Below are 22,549 nucleotides of genomic sequence, written 5' to 3'. Positions count from 1 at the left end.
TTGACATAAGACAGGAATCATCTATGGACAGACTTGACATATGCACATCACTGGGGAAAGGATGACTCATCCAATGCATGGGACACCTCTTTCCAACACGGAAAAAAAGGAGAATTTTCCTACACAAAATGAATTTTAGATAGATTAAAACTTGGATGTGAAAGCCAAACCAAACTCCTAAACTATTTAGAAGATAATATTTATGGATTAGGATAAAGATTTAGTAAACAAGAACAAGAAGCACTAACATAAAAAATAAAATTAAATTAAACTGCATTGTCCGGGCACGGTGGCTCATACCTGTAATCCCAGCACTTTGGGAGGCCGAGGCAGGTGGATCACCTGAGGTCAGGAGTTTGAGAACAGTCTGGCCAACATGGTGAAACCCCATCTCTACTAAAAATACAAAAATTAGCTGGGCGGGGTGGCGGGTACCTGTAATCTCAGATACTCAGCAGGCTGAGGTAAGAGAATCACTTGAACCCAGAAGGTGGAGGTTTCAGTGAGCCAAGATTGCACCACTGCGCTCCAGCTTGGGCAACAGAGTGAGACTCCATCTCAATTTAAAAAAAAAAAAAAACTGCATCAAAACTAAGAATTTCTACCCACCAAGACACCATTAGGAACACTTTCTTAAAAGTATCAAAATGAAGAAAACAGTTGTAATGCATAGAGCAAACTCAAGATCAGGGTCTAGAAAATATTAAGAATCCCTGCAAATCAATCAATAACTAAAAGACAGACAATCCAATAGCAAGGAAAAGAATGGGCAATTCACAGAAGAAACCCAAATGGCCAATAACCCTCTATGAGAAGAAGCTCAGCCTCACTGTAGCAAGGAAAGTAGAAATGAAGACAAAGTCTGTGATGGGAATGTGAAGAAATGGGAACCATCACACACTCCACTTGTAGTTGGGACCATAAATCAATACAAACATCTTGGACAGCAATGATAATCGCTGAAGGTATAGGTACTCTACCACCCAACAGTTCCACTTTTAGGAATATGAGAGTATCCAAGTAGGCCGGACGCGGTGGCTCACGCCTGTAATCCCAGCACTTTGGGAGGCTGAGGCAGGCAGATCACGCAGTCAGGAGATTGAGACCATCCTGGCTAACATGGTGAAACCCTGTCTCTACTAAAAATACAAAAAATTAGCTGGGCATGGTGGTGGGCACCTGTAGTCCCAGCTACTCGGGAGGCTGAGGCAGGAGAATGGCCTGAACCCAGGAGGAGGAGCTTGCAGTGAGCCGAGATCATGCCACTGCACTCTAGCCTGGGCGACAGAGCGAGACCCCATCTCAAAAAAAAAAAGAGAGTATCCAAGTAAACACACCCCCCCGCTTAGAGAGACACTAGCATATAAATGTTAATGCAATAAAATTCTATACAGCAGTTAAAATAAGTGAACTAGAAATATATGTATGTCTTGTTATGATATACATATGTAAGATACATAATACCTATTACATACACACACCCCTATCTCTCTCTATCATCTCTCTGTAAGGATCTAACACTTAAGAACAATGTTGCAAGAGAATATTGGATGGTCTCATATAAACTTTTAAAATCTGCAAAACAATGCCATGTATTGTTAATAAATACATAAATATGTGATAAAAGTATTGCAAATACTTTGGAATGAAAATATGTGGCCAGGCGTGGTGGCTCACGCCTGTAATCCTGGCACTTTGGGAGGACGAGACGGGTGGATCACCTGAGGTCAGCAGTTCGAAACCAGACTGAGCAATATGGTGAAACCCCGTATCTACTAAAAATACTAAAATTAGTCAGGCATGGTGGTGCGTGCCTGTAGTCTCAGCTACTGGGGAGGCTGAGACAGGAGAATTGCTTGAACCTGCGAGGCAGAAGTTGCAGTGAGCCGAGATCGCACTACTGCACTCCAGCCTGGGTGACAGAGTGAGACTCCGTCTCCAAAAAAAAGAAAAGAAAAGAAGCATGAGGGTGAAAAACACTATCACTGGGGCCAGAGGGAAGGAAATTAGATCAAGATTATGTGTATACATTATGTTTTCTTTCTTTTTAAGAAATCAAATTAAATGGGGCAAAGGGTAAGATTTGATCAAGAAAGCTAAGTGGTGGGTAAACAGCTGTACATTACATTATTCTCTATGCTTGTCTGTAGGTATCATCTTATGAAGTAATTAATAATGCATTTCAAATGAAGATCTCCAACCACTCATTTCTATGTTGACAACATTCATCCATCCTGGGATGATTTTGCAATCTAGCCATTTGAAGTGATTTGGCCAGTTTCAATGTAGTTTTTCTTTTCAAAAGCAGATCGTTTTTTCTAGGCAGTGATGTCTACTTTATTACTGTCGTGCTTTCAACATTTTTCAGCTACATTTTATTTAAGAAGCTTTTCCAAACACTTTCTCATAAAGAAAAGTGACAATTCCGAAAGGGACAAAGGGACGAGCATTCTAATGCAGGATACTCCTGCAAAGAGCAATACTTTAACAGATGATGTTACCATTGAAATAGGAAACAAAGAGGGCATAAATATTTGTCTGCATCATTCTCTTGGTGTTCCAATGATCACACTGCCCCAAACACACCCACACACAATTAGACAGGGCTCTTCTCTTAGTTCGATTAATCATCCTTTATGAAGGTGAAACAAACCTTACTGGCTGAAACGCTGCAAAAACAAGGAACAAATAATTTGAATTTTCAAATGATCTGTCCATTTCTGTTTCTCCCTGGCTTTCAAAGCTGCAAATATAAATTCAGCATTTCCTGTGAGATCTGACCAGATGCCCAATTCCGCACATGACAGGATGGGCCAGTCCTAGGCACGGGCATAGACCCCAAGACACTGGCTGCTGTGTGTTGCAGGGGTGCCACAGCTTTGGAATAAAGCGCCAAGTGGAGTGAGGGGTGCCAGCCCAAACACGGGCCACGCTGGCATCCAGCCACCTGCCCATCAAACCCCTAGCTTTCTCTAGAATCCTTGGATTAAATAAATATGTGGCAAAGGGTTGCTGGCAAAAATGATAATAAATTCAACTCAATTCCCACCACAAACTGGCAAACTCCTTCAACGACCCAATTCAGTCTGTCTGCCTCAACTTCCAAATAGCTGGTAATGGGGCCCACTGGGGCCTGTGGGATCCTGGAGGCTCTTAGTCAATATTGCATGCCTTGTTATTTGCCAAAACTTCTGAGATAAAATATAGGATGGACTTGACTTCTACACTAGAGTCAGAATGAGAAGAAACGTGGGGAGCGAGGAGTGGGGAAGCCTCTAAATCTATACACCCTCCTCCCCAAACCTCAGCTAACTGCTATCCTGGCATTGTGATGGCATCTGGGAAGAGCTCAGCATTCTCTCACCCATTCAACCAACATTTTTGAGCACATAGTAGGTGCTAGCATATCTGTGCTAGAAACTGCAGCTACAGCAAGGAATAAAAAGATATGCTCTCTATAACACAAAATGTACAGTCTAAAGGGAAAACGAGTGCACCAGTAATTAGGGTAGAGCTTGATAAGGATGTGACAGGTGCTAAGAGCATATAGTGGGAATTCCTGCACAGGCACTGTCCCTCCCTGGCCTGCTCCCCGCACCCTCCCCAATCCTTCGACCATGTTGCTTTGGGTCCCGCAGAGGATCATTGACATACTGTTCACCGTTGTCCACCTGCTTTCAGGTCAGGCCTCAGATGAAACCTGCCATTCCCCAAGGACCCCATCTCTCTAGGACTCCCAAAATGCCATCTTTTCTCCCATACCCCAAGTATTGCAGAGCCTAGAGCTAAATTGATGTCCTCCTTGTTCCCTGTTACCAATTCCAAAGTATTTCTCCTGCTTCCTCCATCAAAACCCCAGTTCCCTGGAAGCCGGTGCCATTCCATATCACTGCCGTCCCTCGCTTCCCATCACTGCCATCTGTGGACTCCTGGCCGTGCTGCCTGCTCTGTTCTGCCAGGCCTGGGTCACTCTCTTCCTCTCCAGGTCCACCCCTGCCACTATTCTGGATGACCTCAACATCCATATGATGACCCACCCACCCCCCGGCCTCCCGCTCCTTGGTCTCCCCCCATCCAGTGACCTTTCCCCCCACCCCAGCCTGGCCACCCACACCTCCAGCCACCAATAACAGCACCACCTCTGAAACCACCACTGCAAACCTCTTCTCGGACCAGCATCTGTGGCTCTAGGTCTTTGGCACCAGGACTATCACCCAGTCATTCTCGGGCTGAGCAGGACTTCCAACCACATGGTTTATTCACTCCCCATCATTCCTGTTCAGCCTCACTCTTCTCCTCAGCATGGTTTCAGGGACTATTGTTACACAATCTTGAAGGCAGAGAGGCCCATCCAGCCTCCCTTAGTGCCTCACAGGTCCTCCTGCCTCCCCGCTTGCTGCCTACAATCTATTTTCCATGGCAGGAGAGATCTGGAACTGCCAAAACGTTCAAAACTAAACCTCTGGTGTGAACATAAAATGGCATAGCCATTTTGGAAAACAGCTTGGCAGCTCCTCAAAAGATCAGCCACGGAGTCACCACATGGCTCAGCAATTCCACCCCTATGTCTATACCCAAGGGAAGGGAAGGCACATATCCAGAAGCTCATACAGGAAGATTCTCAGAAACATTATTTGTATTAGCCAAAAGGAGGAGGCAACCTAAATGTCCATCAACTGAGGAGCTGATAAATGAAATACGGTCCCTCCAGACCACAAAATATTACTCAGCCATAGAAAGGAACAAAGTACTTACTGATAAGTGCTAAAATATGAATAAACCTTGAAAACATTACCATAAGTTTAAAAAGCCAGTTGCAAGAGACCACCCATTGTATGATTCTTTTTATATAAAATGTCCACAATACATCAGTCTAATAGAAACAGAAAGTAGATTTGTGGTTGCCCTGGGCTGGAGGGGCTGGGGGGAAAAGGGAGTGCCTGCTGATGGGTACAGGGTTTCCTTTGGGGATGATGAAAACTGATTAGGGTTCTAAGACACACTGTGGCAATGGTTGCACAACTCTGTAAATATATTAAAAACCATCAAATTGTACTCTTTGAATTGTATTATATGAGGATTATGTCCAACTGTGGAACTCCCTTGGTTAAAACCTTCGAATGGCGTCCACTGCACCAAAAATAAAATCCTAGCTCCCTACCATGACCTATAAGACCATACATGGTCTTGCCCCAGCCAACTGTTGGGACCTGACAGCTCCCTGCTTTCTCCTGCACCCACCATACTCCAGAAGCCCTGGCCTTCTTTCTATTCCTCTAACACATCAAGAAACGCCCCTGCCCAATGGCCTTCTACATGTTCCTCCTGCCAGGGCTGTCCTTCCCTCTAATCTTTGCAGGGCTAGTTTCTTCATCTCCTTCAAGTTTGAGTTCAGATATTCTCAGGCGAGAGGATCTGACGTTGCCGACACAGAGAGACACACACAGTAAGCTTGGCGTTGCACACCTTGCCCTGTTTTCTTCATTGCTATTGTACTATTGGAGCCAATCAGATTCATTGCTTGCCCCTTACTGCCTTTCCCCAGTGGCTGTCAGCTCTGAGAATGAGACCCTTGCCCGTCCTTCACCACTCCACCCTTGGTGCCCGGATGGAATGGGCCCTTATATTAGTCCGTTTTTGTGCTATTGATAAAGACATACCCAAGACTGGGCAATTTACAAAAGAAAGAGGTTTATTGGACTTACAGTTCCATGTGGCTGGGGAGGCCTCACAATCATGACAGAAGGTGAAAGGCAAGGAAGAGCAAGTCATGTCTTACATGGATGGTAGCAGGCAAAGAGAGAACTTGTGCAGGGAAACTCTTGTTTTTAAAACCATCCAATCTCCTGAGACTCATTCACTATCATGAGAACAGCACAGGAAAGACCCGTACCCATAATTCAATCACCTCCCAAGACATGTGGGAATTGTGGGAGTTCCAATTCAAGATGAGATTTGGGTGGGGACACAGCCAAACCATATCAGCCCTCAATGGAGATTTGCTGCATGAGTGAAGGAAACAGATCACAGAAGGCTTCCTGGGTGGCGTGACTGTGAAGCTGAGCACTAGAGGATGAGCAGGAGCTAACTGTGCAGGGTGGAGAAGGAGGGCTGCAGGAAGAGAGAACAGAGACCTGAAAGCCCATAGGAAAAGGGCACAGAGAGATGAAAGGAATGTGGGGAAAGAGGCTAGAGCCAGCATGAGTGCTGCCTTGTGAACAAATTCAGGAGTTTGGATCTTGTTTGAGAGCAGAGGAAAGGCACTAAAAGGTTTTAAGTATTGGAATGACATACACAGAATTGAGGTTTATAGAATGAAGTAGAGGAGGGCAAGAGAGGGAGCAAGGAGAAGAGGAAGAAGCCTTTGCAGCAATACAGGAAAGAGATCATGGAACCCTGAACTCAGATGGGCTTAAGAAGGACAGAGAGAAAGAAGTGACTTCCAGGTATCAGAGGTACAGTCAACACAAGTGGTGAATGACTGGACCAACTGACTGATTGGAGCAGGGAGGAGAACTCAAATGGATGGTACCATATACTGAGAAAGAGAACCCAAGAGAAACGCATGTCAGGGGAGAGAGGAAAACAGTGTGGGGAATCCAAGGGGAAGTGGTCAGTAGTCAAATGGGGTTACTGTTCTGAAACTTAGTGGTACTACCTGGGCTGTAGACAGAGAACTGTGTGTCATCATTGAAACAAAATCCATAAAAATAGATGAAATTTCCCAAAGAAAGTTTTTAAAGTAAGGAAAACGGAGGCCTTGGACTGAATCTTGAGCATCACAAATATAGAAGGGATGAGCATAGGAATGGGAGGTCACAAAGAGAAGAGAGAAGGTGGTCAGGGAGTTGGAAGGAAAGCCAGGAAGCATGGTACTCCAGAGGGCCTAGGGAAGAGTCTGTTTCAAGAAAAAAAAACGGGGCTCAGAGTGTCCAATCAATGCTGCCGAGATAGTCAAAGAAACGAGGACTGAGAAACGTCCGATGGCAACCAGGAGGTCGTTGGTGGGGGCCAGGTGACAAGGTAAAGACAGCCACTTTGGACAATTTCAGGACATTTGGGGAGGGACAGGGGGAGTAAAGCTGAAGATATAGAAAGGATATATGATAGGGAGAGTTAAGTCATTAATAATAACAGCTTTTATTTTTTTGAGATGGAGTTGCCCAGACTGGAGTGCAATGGCATGATCTCAGCTCACTGCAACCTCTTCCTCCCAGGTTCAAATGATTCTCCTGCCTCAGCCTCCCAAGTACCTGGGATTAGAGGTACCCATCACCATGCCCGGCTAATTTTTGTATTTTAGTAGAGATGGGGTTTTGCCATGCTGGCCAGGCTGGTCTCAAACTCCTGGCCTCAAGTGATCTGCCTACCTCAGCCTCCTCCCAAAGTGCTAGGATTACAGTTGTGAGCCACTGCACCCAGCCACAGCTAAGTTTTTTACTGAAAGTGTACTATGTGCCAGGAACCATTCTAATCTTTATGGAACAATACTATGAAGTAGGCACGGAGGGGCAAGGCGATCCTCTACATTTGTCCAGAAGGCCAGGGGTGGTAGCTCATGCCTGTAATTCCCAGCACTTTGGGAGGCCAAGGCAGGAGGATCACTTGAGGTCAGGAGTTTGGGAACAGCCTGTGCAACACAGCAAGACCCCATCTCTACAAAAAAAATTTTTTTTAATTAGCCAGGTATGATCCTGTGCAACTGTAGGCCTAGCTACTTGCGAGACTGAGGTGGGAGGATTGCTCGAGCCCAGGAGTTCAAGGCTGCAGTGAGCTATGATTGTGTCATTGCACTTCAGCCTGGGTGACAGAGCAAGACCCTGTCTCAAAAACAAAAACAAGAACGAAAACAAAACTGAAGATGAAGAGGAAAAAATGGTGGGATCCAGAGCTCAGGGAGGTGGAGAACGGAAGGCACACAGGGAAGTCGGTAGCCTGTGGGGCATGGGTGAGGACAGTCTGATTTCCTGTCTTCTGTTTGGGCTGGAGAAGTAGAAAGTGAGATCACTGGCTGACAGGGAGAAGGGAAGGTGACCGGACTTGAGGTCTGTGTTACCAGAGTTTAAATTCCAGCTGTTCTGGTTTGTATGTTTTTCTACTCACATTGAAAAGTAAGCATACTGAAAATGCCCATCACTTTGAAGTTTTGCAATCAAATAAGGTCAAAATTCTCCTGAACTCTAGCTCACCCTGGTGATGAAAGGCAGCCCATCTTAGGCCCAAACCATTTAAAGCCTATTAAAAACAGAACTGCCCTACTCCTGAGACCCCACTATTTCCTTTAAAAAAAGAAAACAACTTAAGAGCCATATAATTAAAAAAAAAATAGTACGTAACACTTCATACATAGAAAGATGTGTGTTCTGTATTTATAAAGCACAAAGTTTAAATAAAAGAAGACCCATTACCCCACCCCCACCTCACCCCAACTTAGGAACTAGAATCGTCCACATTAAGCCACTGTGGGTATTTCTTTGAGCCCCACTCTTAGCAAGCCTAACCCAAAGGGAAACCTCCTTCCTGATCTTTGTGCATAAAATTCCCATCATTTTTAAGAATCTAGTTTTACCAGATGTGCATGAATCCAAAGATAGATTGCTCAGTTTTCCTCCAAAATTTTACTATGAAAACTATCAAACATACAGAAAATCTGAAAGCATTTTACAGAGGAAACCCTTGTTTCCACCACCTGGATTCTATAATTAACATCTTGCTATATTTGCTCTATCTCGTAACTATCCATCCAGCCATCCTTTTGTGCATTCATCGATCCATTTTATTTTTTGATGCATTTCAGAGTAAATTGCCAACATCAGTACAAGTCTAAAGGCATATCATTAGCTAGAGTTCAATATTTGTTTGCAGTTTGTTTGTTTGAAGTAAATTTTACAGAGTGAAATGCATGGATCTCAAATGCATCATGGGACACATCTGACAAATGCGCCTCACTGTGCAATCCAACATCTGTCAAGATACAGGCATTGTACTCACTCAAGAAAGTTACTTTATGTCTTTTCCCAGTAAATTGCAGACACCATCACCCACAACAGAGGAAGCCATGGTTAGGATCATTTTGTACCACCAATTACTTTTGCCTAATCTAGAAGTTGATATAAATGAAACATATAACATGTACTCTTGTTTCTGGCTTCTTTTACTCTGCATGACATTTTTGAGATTCATCCATGTGTGTGGCATGTATCCAAAACGTGTTTTGGTTTTCTTTTTTTGAGACAGAGTCTCGCTCTGTCACCCAGGCTGGAGTGCAGTGGTGCAATCTCGGCTCACTGCAAGCTCCGCCTTCCGGGTTCACGCCATTCTCCTGCCTCAGCCTCCCGAGTAGCTGGGACTACAGGCGCCCACCACCACGCCTGGCTAATCTTTTGTATTTTTAGTAGAGATGGGGTTTCACTGTGTTAGTCAGGATGGTCTCGATCTCCTGACCTCGTGATCCGCCCTCCTCGGCCTCCCAAAGTGCTGGGATTACAGGTGTGAGCCACCGCGCCCGGCCCCCAAAATGTGTTTCTCTTTATTGCAGGGCAGCATTCTGTTGTACAAAAATACCTCCACTTGTCCACTCACCTGTTGGTAGACCCCTGAGTTGCTTTCTGTTTTCAGTGACTATGAGTAAAACTGCCAAGAACATTCTCATACAAGTCTTTTTGTGAACATATGTTTTCATTTCTCTTGGTAGATGTCCAAGAGAGGAATTGCTGGGTCATGCAATAGATGTATATTTAGTTTAAGAAACTGCCAGGTACTTTTCCAAATTGTTCGTACCATCTACATCCCCATCAATAATGTATGAAGCTTCCTGTTGTTCCACAACCTTGCCAGCTTATGGTATCCTCAGTCTTTTAAAATTTTCACCAGTAGGGTGGGTGTGTTATATCTCATTCTGGTTTCAGTTTCCATTTGCCTGTGCTACAGACTTTTGATAGCTACCTTTTATCAGATTAAGAATGGGCTCTTCTATCCCTAACTTGCTAAAAAATTTTTTTTTGTTTTTTGTTTCTTTGTTTCTGCTTTTTTTTTTTTTTTTTTGAGACAGAGTCTCACTCTGTCACCCAGGCTGGAGTGCAGTGGAGCGATCTCAGCTCACTGCAAGCTCTGCCTCCCGGGTTCACGCCATTCTGCTGCCTCAGTCTCCCCAGTCGCTGGGACTACAGGTGCCTGCCACCACGCCCGGCTAATTTTTTTTGTATTTTTAGTAGAGATGGGGTTTCACCGTGTTAGCCAGGATGGTCTCGATCTCCTGACCTTGTGAACTGCCCACCTCAGCCTCCCAAAGTGCTGGGATTACAGGCGTGAGTCACCGCGCCCGGCCAAAAGTTTTTATTATTAATTTTTGTGTTAAGTGTTGTCAAATACTTTTTTCTGCATAAAAATTCTTTCTGATCCCTGATTTTCTTGGGAACAGAGAGGTGATTGGGAATTTTTGTTCTGAAAGCCCGTCTCTTACAGTTTCTGCTGGCCTATAACCCACTGGTGACAGTAAGAGGAGCAAGCCAGGGTGAGTATGGCGGTGGTAGTGGAGGACTTAGCAAGAAAGGAATAGGGCTAGCAGTGAAGACAAGACTGTCTAAACTGTTCAAAGTATGAGCCCATCCGGGTCATCTGAAATAATGAATGATCTGCTTGCCATAAAATTAAATGTCGTCCCCAAAACAGTCAAAAGGACAGAAGTTACACATGCTACAGATACTTCTGAAATCGTCTTGGTCTTGGTATGAAGAATGCTCAATCAGGATTAGCAAAGCTGCAGGCAACTGGCCAAAAAATTCCTTACCCTATTTTGTATTCACCAGGGCGTGTGGCTCAGCTTCTTGCAAACAAGGTAGGAGCCCTAGAATATCTGTGAATAGTCAGTGCAGGTCAGAGGGAGCTCATTTTGAAGGGAATTCAGTTCAGACATCACCTCCCTGATGAGAAGCCCTCTCTGGCCCTCAGAGGCCAGCTGGTCGCCTGTCTCTCTGATCCCACATGTCTCTCTCACTGTCCTGCCTACATTACTTTAACTTTCACCATTCATGTATCTATCTGCTTCCACCACTAGGCTGGGGGTTCCTTGAAGATAGAGACCCTCTCCTATTTATCTTTTTTTTTTTTTTTTGAGGTGGAGTTTTCATTCTTGTTGCCCAGGCTGCAGTGCAGTGGGGCGATCTCAGCTCACTGCAATCTCCGTCTCCCAGGTTCAAGCGATTCTCCTGCCTCAGCCTCCCAAGTACCTGGGATCACACGTGCCACCACATCTGGCTATTTTTTTTTTGTATTTTTTGTAGAGACATGTTGGCCATGTCTCTATTAAACATGTCTCCATGTTGGCCAGGCTGGTCTCAAACTCCTGACCTCAGGTGATCCTCCCATCTCGGCATCCCAAAGTGCTGAGATTACAGCTGTGAGCCACCGCGCCTGCTCTATTTATCTTTATACCTCCTTTTTGGCACAGAGCTAGCTCTAGAAGAGATGCCCCATAAATGTGGAACTGAATGAATGAAGAAATGCATTAGAAATCAGCATCACCCACACCCAGGCACGTGCACAGCAAACGCAGGGAGATGTGTCATTTGGAGCTGGGGTACCCCAGGCTGTGGAACCATGAGGCATAGAGAAGGGGACTTCTAACAGAGGGGCGGCCTTGCTCAAGACCTCATGGCTCACTGGCTGCAGTGGCTCACGCCAGTAATCCCAGCACTTTGGGAGGCTGAGGTAGGAGGATCACTTGAGCTCAAGAATTCAAGACCAGCCTGAACAACATGGTGTGACCTCTTCCCTAAAAAAATTAAAAATTAACCAGGCATGGTGGCACCCACCTGTGGTCCCAGCCACTCAGGAGGCTGAGGTGGGAGGATCTCTTGGAAAAAAAAAAAAAAAGACCTCATGCCTCATGGCTCGTTAATGACAGGTCAGGCCTAGATATTGGCCTCCTTATTTCCAGCTCAAGGCTTCTCCGTGTCCTGCTCTGTGGGCGCCACTCTTTTCCCTGCCCAATCCCCCCCCCAACGGTGCCCTCACAGAGGCTGGGATCTCGACCTCCCTCCCACAGGCTCCCTCCGAGACAGCAAAAGGGACAGGTAGGCAGGGATGGGCGCTGCCCGGCATGACGAGGCTTTGAGTGTCTCACTTTTGGGAAAGGCTCATTCTGCCCTGTCCCCTTCCCCCCGAGGCCACCTTCCTGCCTGTCCACAGTGATGCTGCCTCCTCCGGCCCACAGCCCCCCACACCCCTGCTGCCCCGGCACAGGCTTCCCAGGGACCTCTCTGCCACCATCCTGTTCCGTGCCTCTGTAGCCTCTCACTCACTGGCACTGATGTTCAGCCGTGTACCTTTTACTCATCCTGGCTGGAGAAGGGCCCAGTGTGGACAGACTGCAAACTGGTCAGGGGATGTTCTGCCCACAGGACAGGAGAGATATTTAATGAAGGATGTGCACACGCAGAGGCTGCAGGCTCCATGCTGGCACCCACAAGCCCGGCTGGAGTGGGGAGGGGCTCTGCAGGGAAACAGACCTGCTCTCCCCACAGCCAAACCATGGACTCCCTGAGGAGCTGAGAGGAAGAATATCACCTTTTAACTCCTGGACAGTAAAGATTTGGAGTCCAATAAACCCAAAGAGACTGCCCACAAGCCCTTGACCAGTCTCCTTTCCCAAGAGCTTCCAGCCTCCGGGCTGGTGTGGGGGACAGGAGGGCATCCCGGAACTCGGGTGGGTGTCACATGCCTGGAACCCCACCATCAGCACCCCTTCCCTTCAGGCAAGCGTACTCTCTTCATCCAGTCCTCTTTAGAGCAAGTATCACACGCACAGGACAGATTACACATAAATTCATTATTGCCTTAGTGTGAGTCAATTTCTCAGATCCTCTCCTGCCAGAAAGGGATGTGGACAGCAGTGAAAGATCTAAGTGCCCAGAGATGGGAAGTGATGGCGGGGTTGGAAAGGGGACAGAGGAGGAGGCCTGGAGAGCTGAAGATAAACCCCATCGACCTCACAAAGGAAAAAGAGAGGAAATCTAAGACAGGCTCATTCACTGATGCACCCCTCATTTATCAATGACTCCAGGATCTTAATAGCACCTTTTCCTGCTATCAAATGCAAACCTCAACACCTACAGACGGGAGTCTCGGGTGGGGGTTACCTCCAGGGTCAATCTGTTCATCTTCTGACTCTAGAAAGGGTACCCCTTAACTATAAAGTGGGTGGATCCCAGCATCTCCCTGTATTTTGATCTGCTGTCTCCTACTAGGACTTCTCTAAGTACCTGCCACAAACCCACCCTAACTGTACAGTGATGCTCCAGAGAAAACAATGGCTTGCCACAGGCACTCGGAAATTCCAGGGCCCTGCTCATCCATCCCACTGTCCCCAGGTACACACAGGACACCCAGTGCCCCAAAGGGAGATGGCTGTGCCCACATCACAGAGGAAGCCAGGAGCAGAATCGTGGCCGGAGCCCAGGCCTAGTGGCTCCTGGTTCCTTTGGTCTTTGTTTGGTGTCACCATGCAGCCTTCTCAGGGGCCACATCCAGCCTTTTAACAGCATGTCCACTGTCATTCATGAAATGCTCCCAAGACCTAGAATGCGTCCCTGTCATGCAAGGGACCCACGGTGGAAGAAAGACAAAGAGGGTCAAGAACTTGCAGTGGCCCTCATGTCAGAGGCAGCCCTAGGGCAGCTGCAATGTCCCCGCCCACCAGATCACCTCCCACTGGCTGTCTGCTGTGAGAAAGAGCAGGTGGGAGGTTGCCGGTCACTCGCCTCATCTTTTCCCTCCCGCCTGGGCTCTGGACCTTTCTCCTTGCATACTCTGCTTGTCCCCGTCGGTTTGTGTTATTTCTTCAGGAGGTCTCCGACAGTGAAGCAGGAAACAGAGCCTCCTTCTGAGTGCAGGTACGCAGGGAGGCAGGGAAGCAAGCCATTTCTTTGGAAGCTAAGGCAGTTTGGAAACCACTCCTTTTCCCCCTCAAATAACGCTTGCAAATGAGAACTTCAGTTTGGACAGCAGGTGTGTGCCTTTTACACAGTGACCTCAAATGTTTCCAATCCAATGTTTAATTTTTTTCCTTATACCAAATGACAAAAGATCACCGTGCTCCTGATACAGATGTTCTGTTTTACAAGGCAACCAAGTTTCCTAAGTAGTAGGGACTCTGTCTTTCTCATGAATACCAAATCTTTCCATTAAAGGTCTAATTTTTTTTGCATTCCAAACACTGCAAGAGACAGAAGAGGGTTCAAGACATTCATTATGCATCTCTCACAATGCTTCCCATGGCAGAAGTCTGACAAACCACCGCAATTCAATATCCTCGCATCCCACCTAACTTGCTTCAAGTGTCTATGAAATGACCTCGAGGCTCTGGCGTTTTCTGCTGCTGATGCAGTATGCAGATTTTACAAACAAGATTTAGCTTCACAGCTGGTTTTCAGAACAGCTTAGAGTCAAAGATTCAAAATACAGAACACAGCAAAACGGTTCTTATCAAAATGTCAAAATCGATTTTGCCAGAAAACCTCGGCCTGGAACATCTGTGAAAGGTTAGGGTCGAGCACCACTCCCTCTGGTTCATACAGATGCCAAATTAATCAGGGCAAATGAAACACGACATGGCCACATGAGGCTCTGGGGTTCTCCCCGAGCCTGCCCACCCTCTCTTCCAGGGGGAAAGAGTCTCGGGCTGGGAGGGACTCAGAGGCGCCTCCTGGGAGGTGGAGAAGCCTGCTGGGAATTGAGCAAAATCGAGCAATGCGCACCCTCCCCTTCTCCCTGAGGAGGCACTTGACAGCCTCAGAGCAGGGGCTGGACATCTCTGCCCTTGGCAACCTCCCTGTTTTCTCAGCATGGCTCAGAGATGGCCTCAACACAGGAGGAGGAAGAAAACAGAATGGCCCCCAAAATCCCAATGAAAGCCTCTGGTCACATTCTCTCAGCAGGTACCATCATCTGTCAAAAAAGCTGGAGGGGGAGCCCAAGGTTGGGGGCTTCAAAGTCTCCATTTGCCTTCCCTGGAGGGCTGAGTCTAGACATGAGAGACTTATATGGAAGGGGGAGCTTTAAGCCACTCTAAGGAGAACAGAAACGTGGAAGGTACTGGAGATGTAGGAGCTACTGCTTCGAGTCTTGGCAAAGAGCTGAGACAAAGGGCTCCAAGGCCTTACCCAGGATTCTTCCCATGGCGGAGGCTGTGATCGCATCATCTATCTGCATCATCTCCTGCACGGTGTGGGCTGATGCTGAGGTCAGAGCTAATGACTGATTCTAATTTTTTCACTTCAGACAGAATCATAACACTATTCAAACCTAATACATTTATTGCTGTGATCCTCAACCGGGCAGTATTAAAACTTGCGAAAGTGACTTTGCAAATTACCAAACAGTCACCAAGCTAATGAAGCAGGACTTTTAAAGTGACTGAGAAATAATTCCTATATTATAAAGACAGCAATCTGTGAAGGGAGATTTGGTTTTAAAAAAACACATTATAACGTATAATGGAAAATGTTAATCTGTGGTGAATCCAATCAGAGCTGGCTGAAGAGAAAAACATAAGGAAAGTGAAAATACAAACGGAGTATGCACACTCGAACCCACTGGAAGGAAACTTCCTGGGAAGGAGGCTCCCTCCAGGGCCTCCCAATGGTCACCAGGAGCACCAGCAGCCTGCCATGTCCTCCGTCCTCGACTGGGAGACACACCCCAAAGCCATTTCCTCTGGAGGAGGCTCTAAGAAGCACTGGGGGTCCCTGTCTGCCCTGATGCCTGGGAAAAGCCCTTGGGCATAGCGAGGAATTGGCTGTGCCGTCAAGACACTCAGGGTTGCAGGGCTTAGATGCTGTGCCAAGAAAAAGCAGCTCCCGTCTCGGAGGATGGCTATATTCATTCAGAGACCTGGCTCCAGGCAGTGGAAGGCAGGGACACAACAGGAGCTGGTGGGGTCACCAGGGGAACCCCAGACACAGACACCCAAGGGCCAGGCAGCCTCGCTGGGCAATCCAGGGTTGCCCGCTGCAAAGAGGGGCCGAGGAAGGAAAGGGAACTGGGGGCCCCAGGCCTGCCCAGATGCTAATGAAGAATCACGCATCAGTTAATTAGGCTCGGGTGCTACATTTCAGAGGAAGCCCTCTCCATCATGAAAACACTTTGGAAGGTGCCACATCAAAGCACAGTGTAGAAGAAAGCCAGGGAGCCAGGCGCGAACGCCAGCGCTGGCCAAGGGAGAGGAGGCCCATGTTTCTTGTTAGCATTTGACAGCAAGCACCGTGTGCTACTTAGTGAACCAAATCCTCCTTTATGCAAAGTGTTTTTCTCATTCTTGGCCCAATGGTTTCAACGGGTGCTCCCCCCAACAGATTTCAAATCCTATTATACAGTAAACATCTGTGGCATTAATTTTCGCCCTGTAAACAAATGCAGGCAGCTGCAGCAGATCATTTGATGAGTCAATCAATATATGAGCAGCACTCTGCGCCTGCCTTCTTTACTCGAGCAAAATGAAACGGTGCTTTCTGAGTCCGTCTGCGGCACCAGCCAGTAGTGACAACATCAGAGGGAAAATACACTTCCCACTTTTATGTCTGACCAGGAGCCAGGTCATTTCCCTCGAAGCATCCGGAAGGCACGGCCACGACCCAAGCACACAGGGTTCCACGTCCTGCGCGTCCTTCTGCACATCCCAATACTTGGTCCTAAACATGCCGAGAGTTACATCTTTGCATTGGGTGGAGCAGTGGTTCTCGGTGAGGGGTGATTCTGCCCTTCAAGGGAACTGGGCAAAGCCTGGAGACACACTTGGTTGTCGGGGGTGCTATTGGCATCTAGTGGGTGGAAACCAGGGATGCTGTTCAACATGCTTCCATGCCCAGGATGGCCCTAACAACGAAGAATTATCCAGCCTGGAATGTCCATAACACCTGCATGGAGAGGCCTGGGTGTAGAGGCATTGGTGTCTCTGAGGAAAAGCATCTCCCCTCCCCATCTGCTTGCCCCCGCTCTGATGGAGGAAGCAGGGGTTTCGTCTGAGGATGCCCTGTGGCTTTCTGACTTCCTCCAGTTGGAGAAGCATTTCCATTCCTGTTTCCTTAATCACACCCAGTCAGGTGCAATGGGCCTGTGCCCACCTGCCGGTCCAGGCCAACCTGCAAAGCTCAGCCAAAGCCCCCCAAGTGAGCAAGTGAGATTGCAGCTGGGGAGGCAAAGGGCGATGCGGGTCCAGGCACTCTGACCACACCTGCCTCACTCCTTACGGACAGTGGGCAGCACGCAGAGCCTTTGAAGAGGCATCACTGAGGGACTCTCCTCCAGGGAGGCCGCTGGGCGACCGAACAGCAGCGGCTGCTGCTCCCTGTTGGAGTTGAACGTCTCCGAGGCTCAGTTTTCCTGTTTGAGTCCTGGGCAGTCCTTCCCCAGCAGTGAAGGAAATGAGACGAAGCCTCCCCTGGCAGTACAAGCCCCCAGGTACGGCAAGGAAGGCAGGGCTGCCAGGATTCGTGAATCGTTATCAGGAGTTTTATTTGCCATAAACATGCTGCTCCCCACAGGCACACATTTGTCTTCAACGTCTTCCCGGCATCCCCTTACCCTGGGCACCGTCGGCACCTCTGGCCCAGCTCTGACCTGCTGGCCGCCGCCCAGGCCGGAGTTATTCCGGGAACATGGCTGGACCTGCCCATCCCCCAGCACTCAGGGACGGCCGTGCTTGGAGAGCTGAGCACCCAGTGGCTCGTTTCCTGTTCTCAGTGTGTGTCGGGGACTAGCTAAAAACTCGCATCGCCAACATTCCGCCTTCATGGAAATCAGCTCACTGGATCCCCCAGCAGCCCCAGGAGGTGGCATGATTATCCCAGGCCCAAAGGTGAAGCACCTGACCCGCGGCCACACGGCCGTTACGAAACCAGACTACCAGCCTGAGCCGAAGCTGGCATTCCTACAGCAAGGGGCTGGAGAGGGACACACATTTTTTTCTGCTACATTTGATGGCAGCAGAGGGGCAGAAAATGAGCAAAGTCCCTTGCGTGAGAGTCTCGCCGAAGCCCACCTGCAGGGTCAGAACCTTCCGTGAACCACGGTGCCCTGCCAGAAAGTCTTTCTCCTGCTCAGAAGCAAAAGGCCCATGTGCTCAGAAGCAAAAACCCTGTCCTTCAGGGAGGAGCACCCCTCCCAAGCGCAGAAGGGAGACATCTGGGACTCCCAATTCCCTGCGGGGAAAGCCGCCCTCTCCACTCAGTGGCAGTTTAGCTGGGGAATGGCAAGTAGGGACTTGTACCCACCCCCAGAGAAGCCCCTACGCCCCGACACCCCAATCCCTGGGCAGCTGGAAGGGAGTGGATGATTGTGGAAACACCAGGCCCCCGTACCTCGGGAATGTGCCCACAGGGCAGGAAGCCCCACTCCACTGGACACACGCACCCCTGACAGCTGCCAGCAAGGCCTTCTCTGTGCTCCATCCTGAGCAGGTGCCCAGGACCTGGTGATAAGCCAGCCCAGGCTCTGACCTACCTCAGAGACCACAACTGAGCTGGGAGAAGCAAGTGAACAGACAGCCCAATGGTGAGGCAGGCCAGAGAGTAATGTTGCCCACTGGCAGTCAGTGCTCTGCAGGCACCCCCCAGTCTGCTGGAGAGAGGTGGTCACAGCCCACATGGTGCCCTCTGCCACCACACTTAGTGCCCCAGTGGTCCCCTGATGGGGGAGGGAGGAGCTAGAGCCAAAGGAAGGGCACACTGGGCTCCTGGGCACTTGGACTGAATGGGCCGGCTGGCCACATCCAACTGCAATGGGAGGGCCTTGGTGCTCACTCAGAAGGTGGCAACGTGGGGACTGGACCCACTCCCCCCATAGGTAAAGACACCCCGGTGGCAAGTCAGCAGGATGGGGATTCAGAACAAAAGCAGACCCCTGGCTCTTTCCAAAAGCCCAGCACAGGGAGAAGAAGGAGCATGGCGGGGAGCGTGGCGGGGGGGGAGGGGGTGGATTCGTGTGTTTGGGGTATGTCCATGGTGCATATTTGAGTGTGTGGTGTGTATGTGTGTGGGTAGTGTATGTTTGAGTGTGTGGTGTGTGTGTGGGGGGCATACATTTCACTGTGTAGTATGTGTATGCATGTGCTTGGTGTATGTTTGTGTGTGTGCATGGTGTATGTGTGAGTGTGTGGTGTGTGTGTGCATGATGTATGAGTGTGTGTCTACATGGTGCATATGTGAGCATGTGTGTGCATGTGTGCATGGTGTACATTTGTGTCGTGTGTGTATGCATTGTGTATTTTTAGTGTGTGTGCGTGTGTGTGGTGTATGTTTGAGTGTGTGCATGGTGTATGAGTGTGTGTTTGTGTGCATACGTGCATGGTGTATGAGTGTGTGGTGTATGTGTGATGTATGTTTGAGTGTGTACATGGTGCATATTTCTATGCATGCATGTGTGCATGGTGTATGAGTGTGTGTGTGCATGGTATATGAGTTTGTGTGTGTGCATGGTGTATGAGTGTGTGTGTGCATGGTATATGTTTGAGTTTGTGTGTGTGCATGGTGTATGAGTGTGTGTGTGCATGGTATATGAGTTTGTGTGTGTGCATGGTGTATGAATGTGTGTGTGCATGGTATATGTTTGAGTTTGTGTGTGTGCATGGTATATGAGTTTGTGTGTGTGCATGGTGTATGAGTGTGTGTGTGCATGGTATATGTTTGAGTTTGTGTGTGTGCATGGTGTATGAATGTGTGTGTGCATGGTGCATATTTGAGTATGTGTATTTGTGGTGTATGTTTGAGTGTGTGTGTGATGTATGAGTGTGTGTGTGCATGGTGCATATTTCAGTGCGTGTGTGTGATGTATGTTTGTGTTTGCGTGTGCATAGTGTATGTTTGAGTGTGTGAGTGTGCATGCATGGTGTATATTTGAGTGTGTTTGTGTGTGCATGGTATATGAATGTGTGTGCATGATGTATATTTGGGGTGTTTTTTTTTTTTTTTTGAGACGGAGTCTCGCTCTGTTACCCAGGCTGGAGTGCAGTGGCACGATCTCGGCTCACTGCAAGCTCCACCTCCCGGGTTCACGCCATTCTCCTGCCTCAGCCTCCCAAGTAGCTGGGACTATAGGTGCTCACCACCACACCCAGCTAATTTTGTTTTTGTATTTTTAGTAGAGACGGGGTTTCACCATGTTAGCCAGGATGGTCTCAATCTCTTGACCTTGTGATCTGCCCACCTCGGCCTCCCAAAGTGCTGGAATTACAGGCGTGAGCCATCATGCCTGGCTGTGTGGTATATATTTGAGTGTGTGTTTGTGTGTGTGCATGCTGTACATGAGTGTGTTTTTGTGTGCATGTGTGTGATATACATTTGAGTGTGTGTGCAAAGTGTATGAGTGTGTGTGCATGGTGCATGTTTGAGTGCGTGTGTGCGTGCTGTAACTTTCTGTGTGTGTGCACGGCATATGTTTGAATGTGTGATGTGTGTGAACATGGTGTATATTTGAGTGTGTGATGTGTATGTGTATGCACGGCATATGTTTGAGTGTCTGTGTACATGTTGTGTCTTTGTGTTTGTGTGTGCATGGTATATGTGTGTGTGGTGTGTGTGCACATGGTGTATATTTGTGTGGTATATATGTGTGCATGATGCTCAAGTGTGTGTGTGTGCATGGTTTATGTTTGAGTGTGTGTTTGTGTGTGTGCAATACGCCAAACCCTTCTCTCCCTACCCCCTCTGACTGCCCACATCAACCCCTACACAGCCGGTCCCAGGGAAGCAGTGAGGACCCAGCCCCAGGGGACAGGTCCTGGCAACCTGATGGTTGGTGTTCAAGGAGGAGGAGCCGGCAGGACGTGGCCGGGGTCAAGGAAGGCCATGGTGATGAGTGTCCTGCTGGGCGGCAGTGTCCACCAGCACAGAATTCACCTAACTGGTTCTCAGCAAAGCACCGAAACAGATATTCCCAGACTTTCCCCGACAGGACTCTTGATGGGAAGCATTACTGCCCTTCTTAATTGAAAGATAACCTTCCTACACATTCTTATCTCTTCACTTCTTTCATACGTGCTTCTTCCCCCTCCAGGATATGTGGAAATTAACTTCTCATATCCCAAGGCTCTGGTTGATCTACATAAGCCAAGAGGGAGACTGGCTCATGAGCAGGCACCGGGTTCAGGGGCTGCCAAGCTCCTGCTGCGAGGGGTGTTGCAAGCAGGATTGCAGGCCCACGGCAATTTCTGGAATAAGCAGCTGCCCAGGGCGGGGAAGCACCATGACTGCCCATCCCCAGGGGAGATCCTCGGCCCGGCCTTTACAATCATCCCATTTTAAAAAAAAGATCCAATTAAAGCACTGGGCATAGTGCCACGCACGTAGTAAGTGTTCAGTAAATAGAAGCTATCATTCATGCATGCCACCACCTAGACGGTTGAGATTATCTCTGCTACATAGACAAGAAGGCCAAAGCTCAGGGACATAAAGAAACTGACCCAGGTCACAGGTCATAGAGGGCAGCACAGGGATTTGAACCCAGGATTACGTTTTTTAAAACCCCGTACCCAAGATCCCCTCAGCCCACTCCACATTTCGCTGAAGGGCAGCCTCTTCCCCTCTGCAATGGGAGGCTTCATGCTTGCAGCCTAGAAGCCACAGGCACTGTGCTTTCGGGAGACACGGATGACTGCAATCGTCCCGGCCCCTCTGTGCTCACAGACTCATGGGTTACTACAGCTCTATGCAATCAGACTGGAGTCCAGCTCCTGCAGTGACCCCAGGGTTCCGGACACTAAGCTGTCATTTTCCTGTGTCTTTGCCTTCCCTACACAGACAGAGACGAGGGAAGGCTAGGAAGGGCTTTACTTGGGCCCAGCTCCAGCTCATTCCCAAGTCACCCTCCTTCCAAGCCCAGTGGCTTCTCTGGTACTTCCCGTCTCGATTTCCATTTTCTCTCTGAAGTTACAGAGCAGGTTCTGCTCCTCCTGTATTAAAAGCCCAATTTTCCCTGCACTATTAAACAAATTTCTTCAAAGATAGAACCTCACATTGAATTAAACCCTTTTTTGAAGTCTTTAGTAGTTTCCATAAATACAATAGATGAATAAGCTGGCAGCCCACTAAAACCATTATTTAATGCAAGATAAAGAGGCACGTGGAATCCCACATAAGCCGCAGAGGAGCGGTGCGGAAAGATGCTCTCCCTCCCGGGCCTGGGAAGGTGACAGGAGCTCAGAGGCGGCATCTCCACCCCTTGGGGTTAATACTTCCAAGAGATCCATGATGGCTTTGAGAAGGGCCCTGGATAGAGGACTCAGTCTGCCCCTCGTCCCCTGAAAGATCTTGGCCACGTCATTGAACCTCACTCCCTTACTTCCCCCAGAGCAGAGTGAGGCACCGAAAGGGACCCAATTCTAGAAGAAAGCGAATCCAGGTCAAGGCCAGCTCAGCCTCCCAACCGCTGCAGAGCTTGAGAGGTTACTCGGCCTTCCTGTCTGCATTTGTAACATGGGAAGAAAAAGCAAGTGCTGCCTCACCAGGTAGTTGTGGAGGACAAATGACCAGCTTAAAGTTGAATTCTTAGGGTTGTT

General features: G+C 48.4%; 1 protein-coding gene across 25 annotated transcripts in view, besides 1 other annotated feature; it reads right to left on the bottom strand.

Annotated features, from left to right (window-relative positions):
- The window catches only part of CAMTA1 (calmodulin binding transcription activator 1), a 984,253-nt gene that overhangs the window by 602,318 nt on the left and 359,386 nt on the right, over window positions 1–22,549 (bottom strand). The window lies entirely within an intron of this gene.
- Window positions 17,177–17,784: an enhancer, noted in NCBI's record as "H3K4me1 hESC enhancer chr1:7209665-7210272 (GRCh37/hg19 assembly coordinates)". NCBI's record gives its function as "activates a minimal SCP1, AML or CMV promoter by ChIP-STARR-seq in naive H9 embryonic stem cells {active_cell/tissue: H9 hESC(naive)}" and the evidence as "EXISTENCE:reporter gene assay evidence [ECO:0000049][PMID:30033119]".

Source organism: Homo sapiens, chromosome 1 (assembly GCF_000001405.40).
Source record: "Homo sapiens chromosome 1, GRCh38.p14 Primary Assembly".
Classification (NCBI taxonomy): domain Eukaryota; kingdom Metazoa; phylum Chordata; class Mammalia; order Primates; family Hominidae; genus Homo; species Homo sapiens.
Note: the sequence above shows the minus strand (reverse complement) of the source record. Positions and strands in the feature narration are given on the sequence as shown.